This window comes from Homo sapiens, chromosome 7 (assembly GCF_000001405.40).
Source record: "Homo sapiens chromosome 7, GRCh38.p14 Primary Assembly".
NCBI lineage: Eukaryota > Metazoa > Chordata > Mammalia > Primates > Hominidae > Homo > Homo sapiens.
The window spans coordinates 150,532,284-150,548,803 of NC_000007.14; the positions used below are offsets into that span (position 1 = coordinate 150,532,284).

Here is a 16,520-nt window from a genome sequence, read left to right on the forward strand (position 1 = left end):
TTCCCTTTCTCTCTAGCTGCCTTTAACATTCTTTCATTTCAACCTTGGAAAATCTGACAGTTATGTGTATTGGGGATGATCCTCTTATGTAGATTCTTGCAGGAGTTCTCTGTATTTCCTGAATTTGACTGTTGGACTCTCTAGCAAGGTTGGGGAAGTTTTCATAAACAGTATCCTGAAATATATTTTCCAAGTTGTTTGCTTTCTCCCCTTCCCTTTCAAGCAATGCCAATCGGATTTGCCCTCTTTACATAATCTCATAATTCTCAGACACTTTATTCATTCATTTTTAGCCTTTTTTCTTTATTTTTTGTCTTATTTCAGAGAACCAGTATTCAAGTTCTGAGATTCTTTCCTCAGCTTGATTTCTTCTGCTTTTAATATTTATGATATTATTGTATTATGTTATTCAGCTCTGTCAGATGCATTAGGTTCTTTTTTATACTGGTTATTTTGTCCTTCAGCTCCTGTATTGCTTTATTGTGATTCTTATTTTCCTTGGATTGGGTTTTGCCATCCTTCTGAATCTCAAAGATTTTTGTTTCTATCCATATTTTGTCTTCTATTTCTGTCATTCCAGCCATTTCAGCCTGGTTAAGAACCCTTGTTGGAGAACTGGTGTGCCATTTGGAGGACATATGACAATCTGGCCACTTGAGTTACTGGAGTTCTTGCGTTGGTTCTTTCTCATCTCTGCATGTCGGTGTTCCTTTAACTGCAGTGTAGATTGAATACAATCAATAAACTTCTTTTTATGGATGTTTTCACAGGGCCAAGTCTTTGTGCAGGGTCTCTATTTGAAGCTGACTTCTTGTCTCTGGTTTCAGAGGAGGGTATGTTAGTGAGGTATTTTTGGTGTTGAAGCTTTGGGGTGTGATCCAGCAGGTGGCACTTATGTTTGTTGGTCAGTTCGTAGACTCTTGCTTGGTTGTGTGGCTCCCCTATGTTTCCTCATAGTTGCAGCCATGTTCCCTCTCAATGCTCTGAAAGTGTTGGTTTCTCTCTCTCTTGACTGCTGGCTGTAGATCATGGTTTGGTGCTCCTGGGCTGCCCACTGCAGCTCTGGGGTGATCTCAGTGTTTACATTCCTTCCTCAAATTGGAGTCAGTAAAGGAAGAACTTTAGTAGTGGTTGTGGACAATGGTCTTTTGCTTGTCTCCCAGGGGCCCCACCCCAGAAAGATGCAGGTCAGCAGTTGCTCAGTGCAATTAGCCCAAGATGGAGGGTCTGTGCTGGAGGGCCCAAGCCAGGGATTCCCTGTCTGGTGATGAGCAATGGGGGTGTGGGGGACCCATGGAAATTGGACTGGCTTCCTCTTCTTGGATGAAATGTAGCTTGTTGGAGGTGTGTATAAGGCACTTAGGGTCTTTGCTCCTATGTTAGTCCACGGGTGGCAAAGGCAGTTCCACTGCAGAGGCAGTGGCAGAGAGATTTTCAGTTGCCCTGGAAGGCTCTGTCCAGGGAGTTGCTGAGTTGCTATTGGCTTGATAGCTCTGGTGGTGGGTGTCTGGAGGCCAAGCCTGGAGGACCTGTCTGGTAAGGAGATATGGGAATGGCCACCCACATAACAGTCTGGCCAATTTTCCATAGGGCTTCTGCGGTATGCTAGGGGCCCACTCCAGTCCCTAGTTACCTCGGATTTTACCTGGAGGTAACACCAGAGAAGCCTGTCAAATAGCAAAGATGGCAAACTGCCCTTCCCTCTGGGAGCTTCATCCTGTTGCTAGCCTGTTGCTAGCTTGTTCAAGCCTGTTGCTAGCCTGAACACACCTGTAGGAGGTGGCTGGAGACCCCGATAGAAAGGTCCCACCCAGTAAGGAGAAATGTGATTGGGGACCCACTTTAAAAAGCAGTCTGGCCATGATTTCATAGAGCAGCTAAGCTGTGCTGGGGATCCACTTCAGCTCCTGGTTGCCTTGGACACTTCAAAGCCTGAACGCTGGAATAGCTAAGTTGCCCAGACAGCAAGGATGGTGGTCCACCCTTCATGCTGAGAGCTTCATCCCAGAGAATTAAAATCTCTGTTGGCTGGAGAACACTAATGGGGGTGGCTAGAGGCCCTGGTTGGGAGATCCTACTCAGGGAAGAGGAATGGGATTGGGCACCCACTTAAAGAAGCAGTTTAGCCACATTTTGTTAGAGCAGCTGTGCTGTTCTGGGTGGGTCCCTTCTGCCTGTGGTCAGCTAAGACTCTCCAAATTCTGAAGACTTGGTTGGGGGCTAAGTAGCTCAAACAGCAAAGATGAAAGATGGCAGCCTGCCCCTTCTCCTGGGAGCTCCATCACAGGGAAGTGCAATGCTGCTACCAGTGGCTGGCTGGAACTCCAAGCTAATGGGTCTTATCCTGTGAGGTGCCATGGAAGTGGGGCCTGCAGGCTGTCACTGCTCAGTCCCTTGGATTCAGCCTCTTACCTAGGGGTATGTACAGGGATCTAACCTCGCACTTTGCTGGAGTTGCAGCTACTTTTGCCGGAAAGCCTGAGTATCTAAGCTTCCCAGGACTCCATGCATGCCTGAGCAGCTGCTCCGCTGAGACTCCATAGCTCTGTTTGTCCACCAAAGACCCCAGTGGAATGGGTTCACAAGAAGATCTCCTGGCCCATGGGTTGCAAAAATTTGTGGGAGAAGTGTGGGTTCCTGGGGTCGCACATGCACTAACTGCTTCCCTGGGTGGGGGAGATTCCCCTGCCTCTGTGTTGCTCCTGTGTGGGCCGTCATGCTGTCTTGCTTTTCTTCATTCTCCAGGGTCAAGTTATTTCCTTGATTAGAGGCAATGCAAGTACCTGATGTTCCACGTTGAGATGATGTATTTACTTGCTCTTTTTGTTCCTCTCCGTGAGAGCCATGCATATTAATTGCTTCTAGTTGGCCATCTTGGCCACCATAAAGGTACATTCTTTCTGTACTTAACTTGTTGAGCATTTTTGTCATGAAAGGATACTGAATTTTGTCCAGTGCTTTCTTTGCGTCTATTGAGGTGATCATATGATTTTTATCCTTTATTTTGTTAGTGTAGTGTGTCACATTTATTTATTTGCATATGTTGAGCCGTTTTTGCATTCTAGGGATAAATCCCACTTACTCAAAGTGTATAATGTTTTTAATGTGCTGTTGAAATCAGTATGCTTGTATTTTATTAAAGAGTTTAACATCTATGTTCATCAGAGATATTGGCCTGTAATTTTCTTTGCTTGTAGTGTCCTCTGGTTTTGGTATTAGGGTAATCGTGGCCTCATAAAATGAGTTTGAAAGTGTTCCTTTTCCTTCAATTTTTCAGAAAAGTTTGAGTGGAATTGGCATTACATTCATTTTGCTATAAGTGTTTGTTAAAATTCACCAGTGGAGCCTTCATGTCTAGAGCTTTTGTTAGGAGTGTTGCAATTACGGATTTAATCTCCTTACTTGTCATTGATCTATTAAGATTTTCTATTTCTTGGTGATTCAGTCTTGATAGGTTGTATATGCCTATGAATTTACTAACTTTCTCTAGGCTATCAAATTTATTGGTCTATAATTATTTATAATAATTTCTTGTGGTCCTGCAGTGTATACCTGCAGTATCAGTTGTAATGTTTCTGCTTTTATTAATAATATTATATATTTGAGTCTTTTTTCTTTTTTCTTAGTTAGTATAACTAAAGGTGTTTCTATGGCCCCAAACTCCAGGCCTTTCCCATTGTCAGGTGGCCCTTTGCAGCCCCAGGCTCCAGGGCCACCTTGCAGACACAGGTCCTAGGCCAACTCCAGCAATAGGTCTGCCCTCATAACCTCAGGCTCCAGGTCTGTTCCAGCACCAGGCCAGCCCCACAAAGCGCCAGGCTTCAGGCTTGTCCCACAGCCTCAGGCTTCAGGTCAGCCTCTGCAGTCTCATTCTGTAGACTAGCACTCATGGGATGAGGGTTCATGTTGGATCTGAAGATGAACTTTAAGGCCTGCTCCAGGGCCAAGCTGGCTCCCATTGACCCAGGCTTTGGGCTGACCCACATGGACCCAAGTTCAGGTTCATCCCAGCACCAGGCTGGCCCCATGGCTCCAGGATGCAGGCCTGCTCTGAAGACTAAACCTTCAGACCAGACATCACAGCCCCAGGATCTAGAATGTACCCGTGGCCCCTGCCTTCAGGCTTCTGTCCACAAGCCCAGAACCCAGTGAACTCTGGTGCCAAGCTAGCCACTATAGACCTGAGATTCAGGCATAAACCCAAAGACCCAATTTCTAGTCTCACCATAGCACCAGGATGGCCCCTGTAGACTCTGGGCCCACAGACTCAGAACCAGGCCCATCTCCATGGTTCCAGATGTGAGGCCCTTCTTAGTGACAGGCCTGCCCACAGGGACCTAAGCTCCAGTGCCACCCTAGTGGATCCAGGCTCCAAGCTGGTCATTGTAGATCCAAGCACCAGGCCTGCCCACCTACTTGCTGAGGGACCAGGGTAGCATGTTCAAGGACTCCAATACCAAGCTGTGTTAGGCCATTCTTGCACTGCTATAAAGAAATACCTGTGGCTCAGTAATTTGTAAAGAAAAGAGTTATAATTGCCTCATCAACCTGTAGGCTGTACCAACATGGCTACAGCATCTGCTTCTGGTGAGGGTCTCAGGAACCTTACAATTATGGAGGAAGGTGAAGTGGGAATAGGCAGGTCACATGATAAGAATGGGAGTAAGAGCGGGAGGTAGAGGCCACGCACTTTTAAACAACCAGTTCTCACATGAACTCAGAGCAAGAACTCATTATTACCAAGGAGATGGTTCTAAACCCTTCATGAGGGAACTGCCCCCATGATCCAATGACCTCCCACCAGGCCCCACTTCCAACACTGGGAATCAAATGTCAACATGGGATTTGGAGGGGACAAACATCTAAACTATATCACAAGCCCACTGATAAACCCCATTAGCTGGCTTACCTAGAATCTTAGGGCTGACTGGTGGAGGGCTTTCCCTGCTGAATCCAGTTTGTAAAGACCGAAAAAGCTGCCTACTTCTTTAAATATGCAAACACCAATTTAAAGCCCCAAGGATTACAGATAATCAGAAAAACATGACACCAAAAGAACAAACTAAAACACCATTAACAGACCTTACAGAAATGCAGATCTATGAACTGCCTAAGAGTTCAAAATAATTATCTGAAAAAAGTTTAGTGAGCCACAAGAAAACACAAACTGAACAATAATCAGAATACATAAACAAAGAGTTGTTCAACAAATAGAAACCATTAAAATGAACGAAATTCAGAAGCTGAAGAACACAATAACTGAACTGAAAATTTCAGAGAGCTTCAATAGCAGATTTGAATTATAAGAACTAGTGAGTTCAAAGGCACATCGTTTGAAATTACCCAGTACGAGGAACAAAAAGAAGAATGAAAAAGCACGAAGAAATCCTACAGACTTATGGGACATCATCAAGTGAACCAACACACATTATGGAAATTTCAGAAGCAGAGAAAGATAAAAAAGCAGAACATTTATTTAAAGAAATAATATAAAATTCCCCAAATCTGGAGAGGGAAATGAACATCTAGGTCTATAAAGCCTAAAGGACTCTAGACATCATAGCCCCAGGATCTAAGTTATAACCGTGGCCCCTGCCTTCAGGCTTCTGCCCACAAGCCCAGGCTCCAGTGGACCCTGGTGCTGATCTAGCCCCTATAAACTAAGTAGATTAAATGTAAAGGGATCTTCACTGAGATGCATTATACTCAGTTCTCAAAAGTCAGTAACAAATATAATTTTCAAATCAGTAAGATAAATACAGCTTAACAGGAAGAAATCTTTTTTTTTTCTTTGAGACAGAGTTGCTCTGTCATCCAGGCTGGAGTGCAGTGGCACAATCTTGGCTCACTGCAAACTCCTCCTCGGTTCAAGTGATTTTCCTGCCTCAGCCTTCCAAGTAGCTGGGATTACAGGTGCCCACCACAATGCTTGGTTAATTTTTAAATTTTTAATAGAGATGGGGTTTCACCATGTTGTCCAGGCTGTTCTCAAACTCCTGACTTCAGGTGTTCTGCCTGCCTTGGCCTCCCAAAGTGCTGGGATGACAGGCGTGAGCCACCGCACCTGGCCAAGGAATCTTCATAAGACTGTTAGCAGATCTCACCAGAAACTTTACAGGCTGAGAGAGTGAAATGATATATTCAAAGTGCTAAAAGGAAAAAATTGCCAACCAAGAATCTTATACCCAGCAAAGATGTTCTTTACCAATGGAGGAGAGATAAAAGGTTTTCCCAGACAAATAAAAGCTGAAGGAATTCATCATCATCTGCCTTACCATGCATGCAAAAGGGAGTATTTTAGGTTGAAATTAAAGGATGCTAACAAATATCATGAGAATATATAAACTGTTATTGAGCAATGGGCTTGCCAATCAATGTGCATAGAAGCCAACACTATGGCACTGGCTTTTGAGAATAAAAGTTTCATTTTGAGTTTACTGGCAAGGAGACAGGAGGAAATGCTGAAATGTGTCTCTTCAATTTGGAGTTGGGCCAAGCTTTTATGGCATTTCTAACTAGGCCTAGGTGATGCCACTGCAGCTGGTCTGCCAGATTGGTTGTGTTAAAAATCAGGAGGTTAACATTGTTCATGGCTGGGGTCAATGACTTGCAATTTTGCCTCTGCAACATCTGTAACAACTTAAGCAGTGGTTAATTGGTTTGAGCTGGTCCCACGGTTATAAGCCCCCTGTATTATGTCATTCTTGCATTGCTATAAAGAAATACCTGAGACTGGATAATTTATAAAGAAAAGAGGTTTAACTGGCACAGTTTTGAAGGCTGCTCAAGCATAGCTCTGGCATCAGCTCAGTTACTAGAGAGATGAAAAAAGGGAGCTTTCATTCATGGCAGAAGGTGAAGTGGGAGCAGACACATCACATGGCCAGAGCAGTAGCAAGAGAGAGAGTGGGGAAGTTGGGGGAGGTACAACACACTTAAACAACCGTATCTCAAGAAAGCTCACTCACTACTGCAAGGACAGAACCAAGCCACAAGGGATTCACTCCCATGACCCAAACACTTCTCACCAGACCCCACTTCCAACATTGGGGATTATAATTCAACATGAGATTTGGGAGGGACATATATTTAAACTATATCATTCCACCCCTGGCCTTCCAAATTTCATATCCTTCTCACATTGTAAAATAAAATCATGCCTTCCCAACAGCCCCCTGCCCCACACACAAATCTTAACTAATTTCAGCATCAACTCAAGGAAAAGTTCCAAGTCCAAAGTCCAAAGTCTCATCTGGTAATGAGTACCTTCCACCTATGAGCTTGTAAAATCAAAACAAGTTATTTACTTCCAAGATACAATGGGGTATAGGCATTGGGTAAACCACTTCAAAACAAAGAAATCAGCCACAAGAAAGAGACTACAGGCCTCATACAAGTTTGGAACCCAGACTTGTATGGGAAGTCATTAAATCTGTTTGTTTTTTTCAAGATGGGGATCTCATTTTGTTGCCCAGGTTGGTCTCAAACTCCTGGCCTCAAGCAATCCTCCTACCTCGGCCTCCCAAATGCTGGGATTACACGCATGAACCACCATGCTCAACCCTGAAGTAATTAAATTTTAAAGTGCCAAAATAATCTCCTTTGACTCCATGTCCCATATCTAGGGCACACTGATGTAAGGGGTGGGCTCCTAAAGCCTTGACCAGCTCCACCGATGTCTTTCCCACACTGAGGTTGCAAGTTGTTGGTGGATCTACCATTCTTGGGCATGGAGAACAGTGGTTTCCTTCTCACAGCTCCACTAGCCAGTAAGGAATCTGTGTGGGCCCTCTAATCCCCACTGCCCTATTAGAGTTTCTCCATGAGGGCTCTGCCCCTGCAGCAGCCACTCAGGCTTTCTCATACATCTTCTAAAATCTTGGTAGAAGATGCCAAACCTCTTTCAGTCTTGCATTCTGTGTGCCTGTAGGCTTAACACCTCGTGGAAGCCACAAGACTTATGGCTCACACCCTCCAAAGTAGTAGCTTGAGCTGTACCTGGGCTCCTTTGAGCCGCAGCTGGAGTTGGAGTAGCCAGGAGGAACAGTGTCCCAAGGCTGTGCATGGCAGTGGGTCCCCAGAACAGGCCCATGGAATTGTTCTCTCCTGGGCCTCTAGGCCTGCGATGGGAAGGGCTGCCTCAAAAATCTCTGAAATGTCTTTAAGGCCCTTTTCCCATTATGTTAGCTATTAGTACCTGGTTCCTTTTTAGTTATGCAAATATCTCTAGCAAACGGTTTCTCCAAAGCCTGCTTGAATTCCTTTCCCAAAAAAGTTTTATTTCTCTGCCACTTGGCCAGTCTGCAAATTTTCCAAACTCTTGTGCTCTACTTCCTATTTAAATATTCCAACTTTAAGTCATTTATTTGCTCCTGCATCTGATGGTAAGCTGTTAGAAGCAGCTGGGTAACATCATGAATGCTTTGCTGCTTAGAAATTTCTTCTGCCAGATATCCTAAATCACTCTTTAGTTGAAACTTCCACCAACTCTCATGGCATAAACACAATGCAGCCAAGTTCTTTGCTAAGGCATAACAAGGGTGACTTTTGCTCCAGTTCCCAGTATGTTTCTCATTTCCATCTGATACCTTGGCAACCTGGACTTAATTGTCCATATCACTATCATTGTTTTGCTCAAAACAATTTAACCAGTCCCTAAGAAGTTTCAAACTTTCCCTCATTTTCCCATCTTCTTCTGATCTCTACAAAGTCTTCTAACCTCTGCTACCCAGTTCCAAAGCTGCTTCCACATTTTCAGGTATCTTTATAGCAATGCCCCATTCCTCAGTACCAATTTTCTATATTAGGCAGTTCTTACATTGTGATAAAGAATTACCTGAGACTGGGTAATTTGTAAAGAAAATAGGTTTAATCAGATCATGGTTCTGCAGGCTGTACAAGCATAGTGCTGGCATCAGCTCAGCTTCTAGGGAGGCCTCAGGGAGCTTTAACTCCACTAGGCAGTGCCCCAGTAGGGATTCTGTGTGGGGCTTCTAACTCATTTCCCCTCCAAACCCTGCTATTAAAGGTTCTCTGTGAGGGCTCTGCCCCTGCAACAGGCTTCTTTCTGGGCACCCAGGCTTTCTCATACATCCTCTGAAATCTTGGTGGAGGCTGCCAAGCTTCCTTCACTCTTGCATTCTGTATGCCTGTGGGCTTAATACCACATGGAGGCCTCCACAAACTCTTCCAACCTCTGCCTGTTACCCAGTTCCAAAGCTGCTTCCACATTTTCAAGTATTTTTATAGCAGGGCTCTATTCATCAATACCATTTTTTAATGTGACAATTTTGTTTTGATTTTTTAAAAAATGAGTCTGTTGATTTAATCAGGGCTTTGGGGTCATAAGACATTAGTCACTGTCATAGTCATAATGATGCATTTATTCAGGGAAAATTTTAATTTTTTTTTTCTTCTTCAGAAACAGCTGCAGGAACACCTAAAATTAAGCAATGTTCGTCCATAAAACTTTACTGAAACTTGATTCCTTTCACCAGAGGAAGATCCTTACCATAGTTGATGATACAAGTAAACCTTCTCATGCACTATTTCCAGGAGTCATCACCAGATGCCCTGCCACCACAAATGTGCTTTTCTCCTCCAAATGCACCTGCAATCTCAGCTCCGCTCATTGGAATATTGACATTTACAATGCCACAGTTAGATCTTTTAGGTCCAAGCCAGTGGAAGATTCTGCCCAAATCTTTGGTAAAGATGCTACTTGAAATACCCTGTTTTACTTCATTATTTCACACAAAGAGCTCTTCTTCATTCTTAAATTTAAAAACATAGAGAATTGGAGCAAAAGTCTCTGTGTATAGAAGCAGGAACAGACACATCACATGGCAGAGCAGGAACAAGAGAGAGAGAATGGGTAGGGAAGGTTCCACACATTTAAACAACTGGATCTCAAAAGAATGCACTATGACATGAGAGTCTGCCCTTATGACCCAAACACCTCCCCCAAGACCCCACCTCCAACACTGGGGATCACAATTCAACATGAAATTTGGCAGCAACACATATTCAAACTATATCAACTCCCTTTCTGTTGTGCATTCCTCAATCTTGAGGGATATGGGGCAATGGCAATTCTAGCTACTGTTTGCTGACAAGGGGAATTGGTCTAGGTTTGAGGAATAAAACTGTTTTACATTTAATTGTAAATACACATGGGTCCCAGAATGTGGCCAAGCCTTTGGGTTTGGGCTCTTATATTAAAGTAGAAATTTTTTTTCATGATTGAGAAAGATGGAAAGGGGGCATATAATGGCTCAGGAGACAAAGTCCATCAATTTACCCCCTGTATAAGCATGTGTGTGTGCCTGCCCTTGATTTTGGGGATCTGAACCCCTTAAAACTGGCCCTTACAATCTCATGCATCCACCTCTTCCCTGGTAGTCCCTGGGCCTAGAGGAAGGGTATATTGCTAACAGAACAGTGCTTTGCCCCAATGGGATTTTAGAGGAAGGAGATTTGCAGGCTTTGTTGAGTTATTTCTAGTTTTCAGGATACCATTATTCTGGTTTTCTTAGAAAAAGTAAACAATGAGAGATGAATAACATTGTTAATTTTGAGTAGTACAATCAAAAGAAAATGTCTCTGACAGAATGAAAAAAAATCTTATTGAATTAGGAAGCAAAATAAAAACATCATGAAGAAAATTATGGGTCCACCATTACTGAGGCTTGAGAGGGCAGTTTTCCCCTCACAATATGAACAAAGCCACTGGGAAGTTTGGACTGGGCAGAGCCCACTGCAGTGCCTCAAAGCTGCTGTAGCCAGACTGCCTCTCTAGATTCGTCTTCTCTAGGCAGAGCATCTCTGAAAGAAAAGCAGCAGCCCCAGTCAGGGGCTTATAGATAAATCTCCCATCTCCCTGGGACAGAGCACTTGCGGGGAGGGGTGGCTGTGTGTACAGCTTCAGCAGACTTAAATATTCCTGCCTGCCAGCTCTAAAGAGAGCAGCAGATCTCCCAGCACAGTGCTCGAGCTCTGCTAAGGGACAGACTACCTTCTCAAGTGGGTCCCTGAACCCCGTGCCTCCTGATGGGGAGACATCTCTCATCAGGGGTTGACAGACACCTCATACAGGAGGGCTCTGGCTGGCATCTGTTGGGTGCCCCTCTGGGATGAAGCTTCCAGAGGAAGGAGCAGGCAGCAATCTTTGCTGTTCTGCAACCCTCAGTGGTAATACTCAGGCAAACAGGGTCTGGAGTGGACCTCCAACAAACTCCTGCAGACCTGCAGCAGAGGAGCCTCACTGTTAGAAGGAAAACTAACAAACAGTAAGCAATAGCATCAACATCAACAACAAGAAAACAACCATGCAAAAACCCCATCCAAAGGTTACCAACAGCAAAGACCAAAGGTAGATAAATCCACCAAGATGAGGAAAAACTAGTGCAAAAAAGCTGAAAACTCCAAAAACCAGAATGCCTTTTCTCCTCCAAAGGAGCACAACTCCTCACCAGCAAGGGAACAAACCAAGACTGAGAATGAATTTGACAAATTGACAGAAGTAGGCTTCAGAATGTGGGCAATAACAAACTCCATCAAGCTAAAGGAGCATGTTCTAACCCAATGCAAGGAAGCTAAGGACCTTGATAAAAGGTTACAGGAATTGCTAACTAGAACAACCAGTTTAGAGAAGAACATAAATGATTTGATGAAGCTGAAAAACACAGCGCAAGAACCTCGTGAAGCATACACAAGTATCAGTAGCTGAATCGATCAAATGGAAGAGAGGATATCAGAGACTGAAGATGAACTTAATGAAATAAAGCATGAAGACAAGAGTAGAGAAAAAAGAACGAAAAGGAAGGAACAAAGCCTCCAAAAAATATGCGACTATGTGACAAGACCAAACCTATGTTTGATTGGTGTACCTGAAAGTGATGGGGAGAATGGAACCAAGCTGGAAAACACTCTTCAGGATATTATCCAGGAGAATTTCCCCAACCTAGCAAGGCAGGCCAACATTCAAATTCAGGAGCTACAGAGAACACCACAAAGACACTCCTCAAGAAGAGCAACCCCAAGACACATAATCATCAGATTCTCCAAGTTTTAAACAGAGCAAAAAATGTTAAGGGCAGTGAGAGAGAAAGCTCAGGTTACCCAGAAAGAGAAGCCCATCAGACAAACAGCTGATCTCTCTGCAGAAACCCTACAAACCAGAAGAGAGTGGGGGCCAATATTCAACATTCTTAAAGGAAAGAATTTTCAACCCAGAATTTTATATCCAGCCAAACTAACCTTCATAAGTGAATGAGAAATAAAATCCACTAGAGAAAAGCAAATGGTGAGGGATTTTGTCATGCCCAGGCCTGTCTTACAAGAGCTCCTGAAGGAAGTACTAAATATGGAAAGGAAAAACCAGTACCAGCCACTGCAAAGACATATCAAACTGTAAAGACCATTAACACTATGAAGAAACTGCATCAACTAATGGGGAAAATAACCAGCTAGCATCATGATGACAGGATCAAATTCACACATAACAATGTTAACCTTAAATGTAAACAGGCTAATCCCCCAATTAAAAGACACAGACAGGAAAATTGGATAAAGAGTCAAGATCCATTGGTGTGTTGTATTCAGGAGACCCATCTCACATGCAAAGACACACATAGGCTCAAAATAAAGGGATTGAGGAAGATCTACCAAGCAAATGAAAAGCAAAAAACAAAACAAAACAAAACAAAAAGCAGGGGTTGCAATACTAGTCTCTGATAAAACAGACTTTAAACCAACAAAGATCAAAAAAGACAAAGAAGGGCATTACATAATGATAAAGGGATCAATGCAAGAAGAAAAGCTAAGTATCTTACATTGATATGCACCCAATACAGGAGCATCCAGATTCTTAAAGCAAGTTCTTAGAAACATACAAAGAGACTTAGACACCCACATAATAATAATGGGATTCTTTAACACCCCACTGTCAATATTAGATAGATCAATGAGACAGAAAATGAAAAAGAATACTCAGGACGTGAACTCAGTACTGGACTAAGTGGACCTAATAGACATCCACAGAACTCTCCACCTCAAATCAACAGAATATACATTCTTCTCAGCACCACATAGCACTTATTCTAAAATCAACCACATAATTGGAAGTAAAACACTTCTCAGCAAAGGCAAAAGAATGGAAATAATAACAAACAGTCTCTCAGACCACAGTGCCATCAAATTAGAACTCTGGATTAAGAAACTCACTCAAAACTGCACAACTACCTGGAAACTGAACAACCTACTCCTGAATGACTATGGGGTAAATAACGAAATGAAGGCAGAAATAAATAAGTTCTTTGAAACCAATGAGAACAAAGACACAATGTACTAGAATCTCTGGGACACAGCTAAAGCAGTGCTTAGGGGGAAATTTATAGCACTAAATCCCACAGGAGAAAGTGGGGAAGATCTAAAATTGACACAATTAAAAGAACTAGAGGAGGAAGAGCAAACAAATTCAAAAGCTAGCAGAAGATGAGAAATAACTAAAAGCAGAGTAGAACTGAAGGAGGTAGAGACACGAAAAACTCTTCAAAAAATCAATGAATTCAGGAGCTGGTTTCTTGAAAAGATTAACAAAATACATCGACTGCTAGCTGGACTAATAAAGAAGAAAAGAGGGAAGAATCAAACAGAGAAAATAAAAAATGATAAAAAGGATATCACCACTGATCCCACAGAAATACAAACTATCATCAGAGAATACTATAAACACCTCTATGCAAATAAACTAGAAAATCTAGAAGAAATGGATAAATTCATGGACACTTACACACTCCCAAGACAAAACCAGGAAGAAGTCAAATCCCTGAATAAACCAATAACAAGTTCTGAAGTTGAGGCAGTAATTAATAGCCTACAAATCAAGAAAAGCCCAGGACCAGATGGATTCAGGGCCAAATTCTACCAGAGGTACAAAGATGAGCTGGTGTCATTCCTTCTCAAACTATTCCAAACAATAGAAGAAGAGGGATTCCTCCCTAACTCATTTTATGAGGCCAGCATCATCCTGATACTAAAACCTGACAGAGACACAACAAAAAAAGAAAATTTCAGGCCAATATCATTGATGAACATCGATGCAAAAATCCTCAATAAAATACTGGCATATCAAATTTAGCAGCACATTAAAAAGCTTATCCACCACGATCACATCAGCTTTATCCCTGGGATGCAAGGCTGGTTCAACATATGCAAAGCAATAAATGTAATCCATCACATAAACAAAACCAATGACAAAAACCACGTGATTATCTCAATAGATGCAGAAAAAGCCTTCGACAAAATTCAACACACTTTATGCTAAAAACTCTCAATAAACTAGATATTGATGGAACATATCTCAAAATAATGGGAGCTATTTATGACAAACGCACATCCAAAATCATACTGAATGGGCAAAAGATGGAAGCATTCCCTTCGAAAAGGTGCACAAGACAAGGATGCCCTCTCTCACAACTCCCATTCGACATAGTATTGGAAGTTCTGGTCAGGGCAATCAGGTAAGAGAAGGATATAAAGGATATTCAAATAGGAAGAGAGGAAGTCAAATTATCTCTGTTTGCAGATGACATGATTGTTTATTTAGAAAACCCTATCATCTCAGCCCCAAAACTTTTTAAGATGATAAGCAACTTCAGCAATGTCTCAGGATAGAAAATCAATGTGCAAAAATTACAAGTATTCCTATACACCAATAATAGACAGCCAAATCATGAGCAAACTCCCATTCACAATTACTACAAAGAGAATAAAATACCTAGGAATACAACTTACAGAGATGTGAAGGACCTTTTCAAGGAGAACTACAAACCATTGCTGGAGGAAATAAGAGAGCACACAAACAAATGGAAAAACATTCCATGCTCATGGATAGGAAGAATCAATGTCTTATAAGTGGCCATACTGCCCAAAGTAATTTATAGATTCAATGCTATTCCCATGAAGCTACCATTGACTTTCTTCACAGAATTAGAAAAAAACTACTTTAAATTTCATATGGAACCAAAAAAGAGCCCTTATAGACAAAGCAATCCTAAGCGAAAAGAACAAAGCTTAAGGCATCATGCTACCTGACTTCAAACTATACTACAGGGCTACAGTAACCAAAACAGCATGGTACTGGTACCAACACAGATATATAGACCAATGGAACAGAACAGAGGCCTCAGAAATGACACTGCACATCTACAACCATCTGATCTTCAACAAACCTGACAAAAACAAGCAATGGGGAAAGGATTCTCTATTTAATAAACGGTGTTGGGAAAACTGGTTAGCCATATGCAGAAAACAGAAACTGGACCCCTTCCTTATACCTTATACAAAAATTGACTCAAGATGGAGTAAAGATTTAAATGTAAGACCTAAAACCATAAAAATCCTAGAAGATAACCTAAGCAATACCATTCAGGACATAGGCATGGGAAAAGACTTCATGTCTAAAACACCAAAAGCAATTGCAACAAAAGCCAAAATTGACAAATGAGATCTAAGTAAACTAAAAAGCTTCTGCACAGCAAAAAAAAAAAAAAAAAAAAAAAAAAAAACTATTGTCAGTGTGAACATGCAACCTACAGAATGGGAGAAAATTTTTGCAATCTCTCCATCTGACAAAGGTCTAATATCCAGAATTTACAAGGGAGTTAAACAAATTTACAAGAAAAAAAAACCTCATCAAAAAGTGGGCAAAAGATATGCACAGACATTTTTCAAAAGAAGACATTTATGCAGCGAACAAACATAAAAAATTAGAGAAATGCAAATCAAAACCACAATTAGATACCATCTCATGCCAGTTAGAATGGTGATCATTAAAAAGTCAGGTAACAATAGATGCTGGACAGGATGTGGGGAAACAGAAATGCTCTTACACTGTTGGTGGGAGTGTAAATTGGTTCACCCATTGTGAAAGACAGTGTGGCAATTCCTCAAGGATCTAGAACTAGAAATCCCATTTAACCCAACGATCCCATTACTGGGTATATACCCAAAGGATTATAAATCATTCTACTATGAAGACACATGCACACGTATGTTTATTGCAGCGTTATTCACAACAGCAAAGACTTGGAACAAACCCAAGGGCCCATCAATGATAGACTGGATAAAGAAAATGAGGCACATATATGCTTGGAATAGTATGCAGCCATAAAAAAGAATGAATTCATGTCTTTTCAGGGACATGGATGAAAGTGGAAACTATCATTCTCAGCAAACTAACAGAGAAATAGAAAACCAAACACCACATATTCTCACTCATAAGTGGGAGTTGCACAATGAGAACATATGGGCACAGGGAGGGGAACATCACACACTGGGGCCTGTCAGGAGGTTGGGGGCAAGGGGAGGGATAGCATTAGGAGAAATACCTAATGTAGGCAACAGGTTGATAGGTGCAGCAAACCACCATGGCGTATGGATACCTATGTAACAAACCTGCACGTTCTGCACATGTATCCCAGAACTTAAAGTATAATAAAAATAAATAAATAATTAAA

At 42.1% G+C, this 16,520-nt stretch overlaps 1 pseudogene; it reads right to left on the minus strand.

Moving 5' to 3' along the window:
- Nucleotides 9,281-9,843, minus strand: ALDH7A1P3 (aldehyde dehydrogenase 7 family member A1 pseudogene 3; annotated as a pseudogene).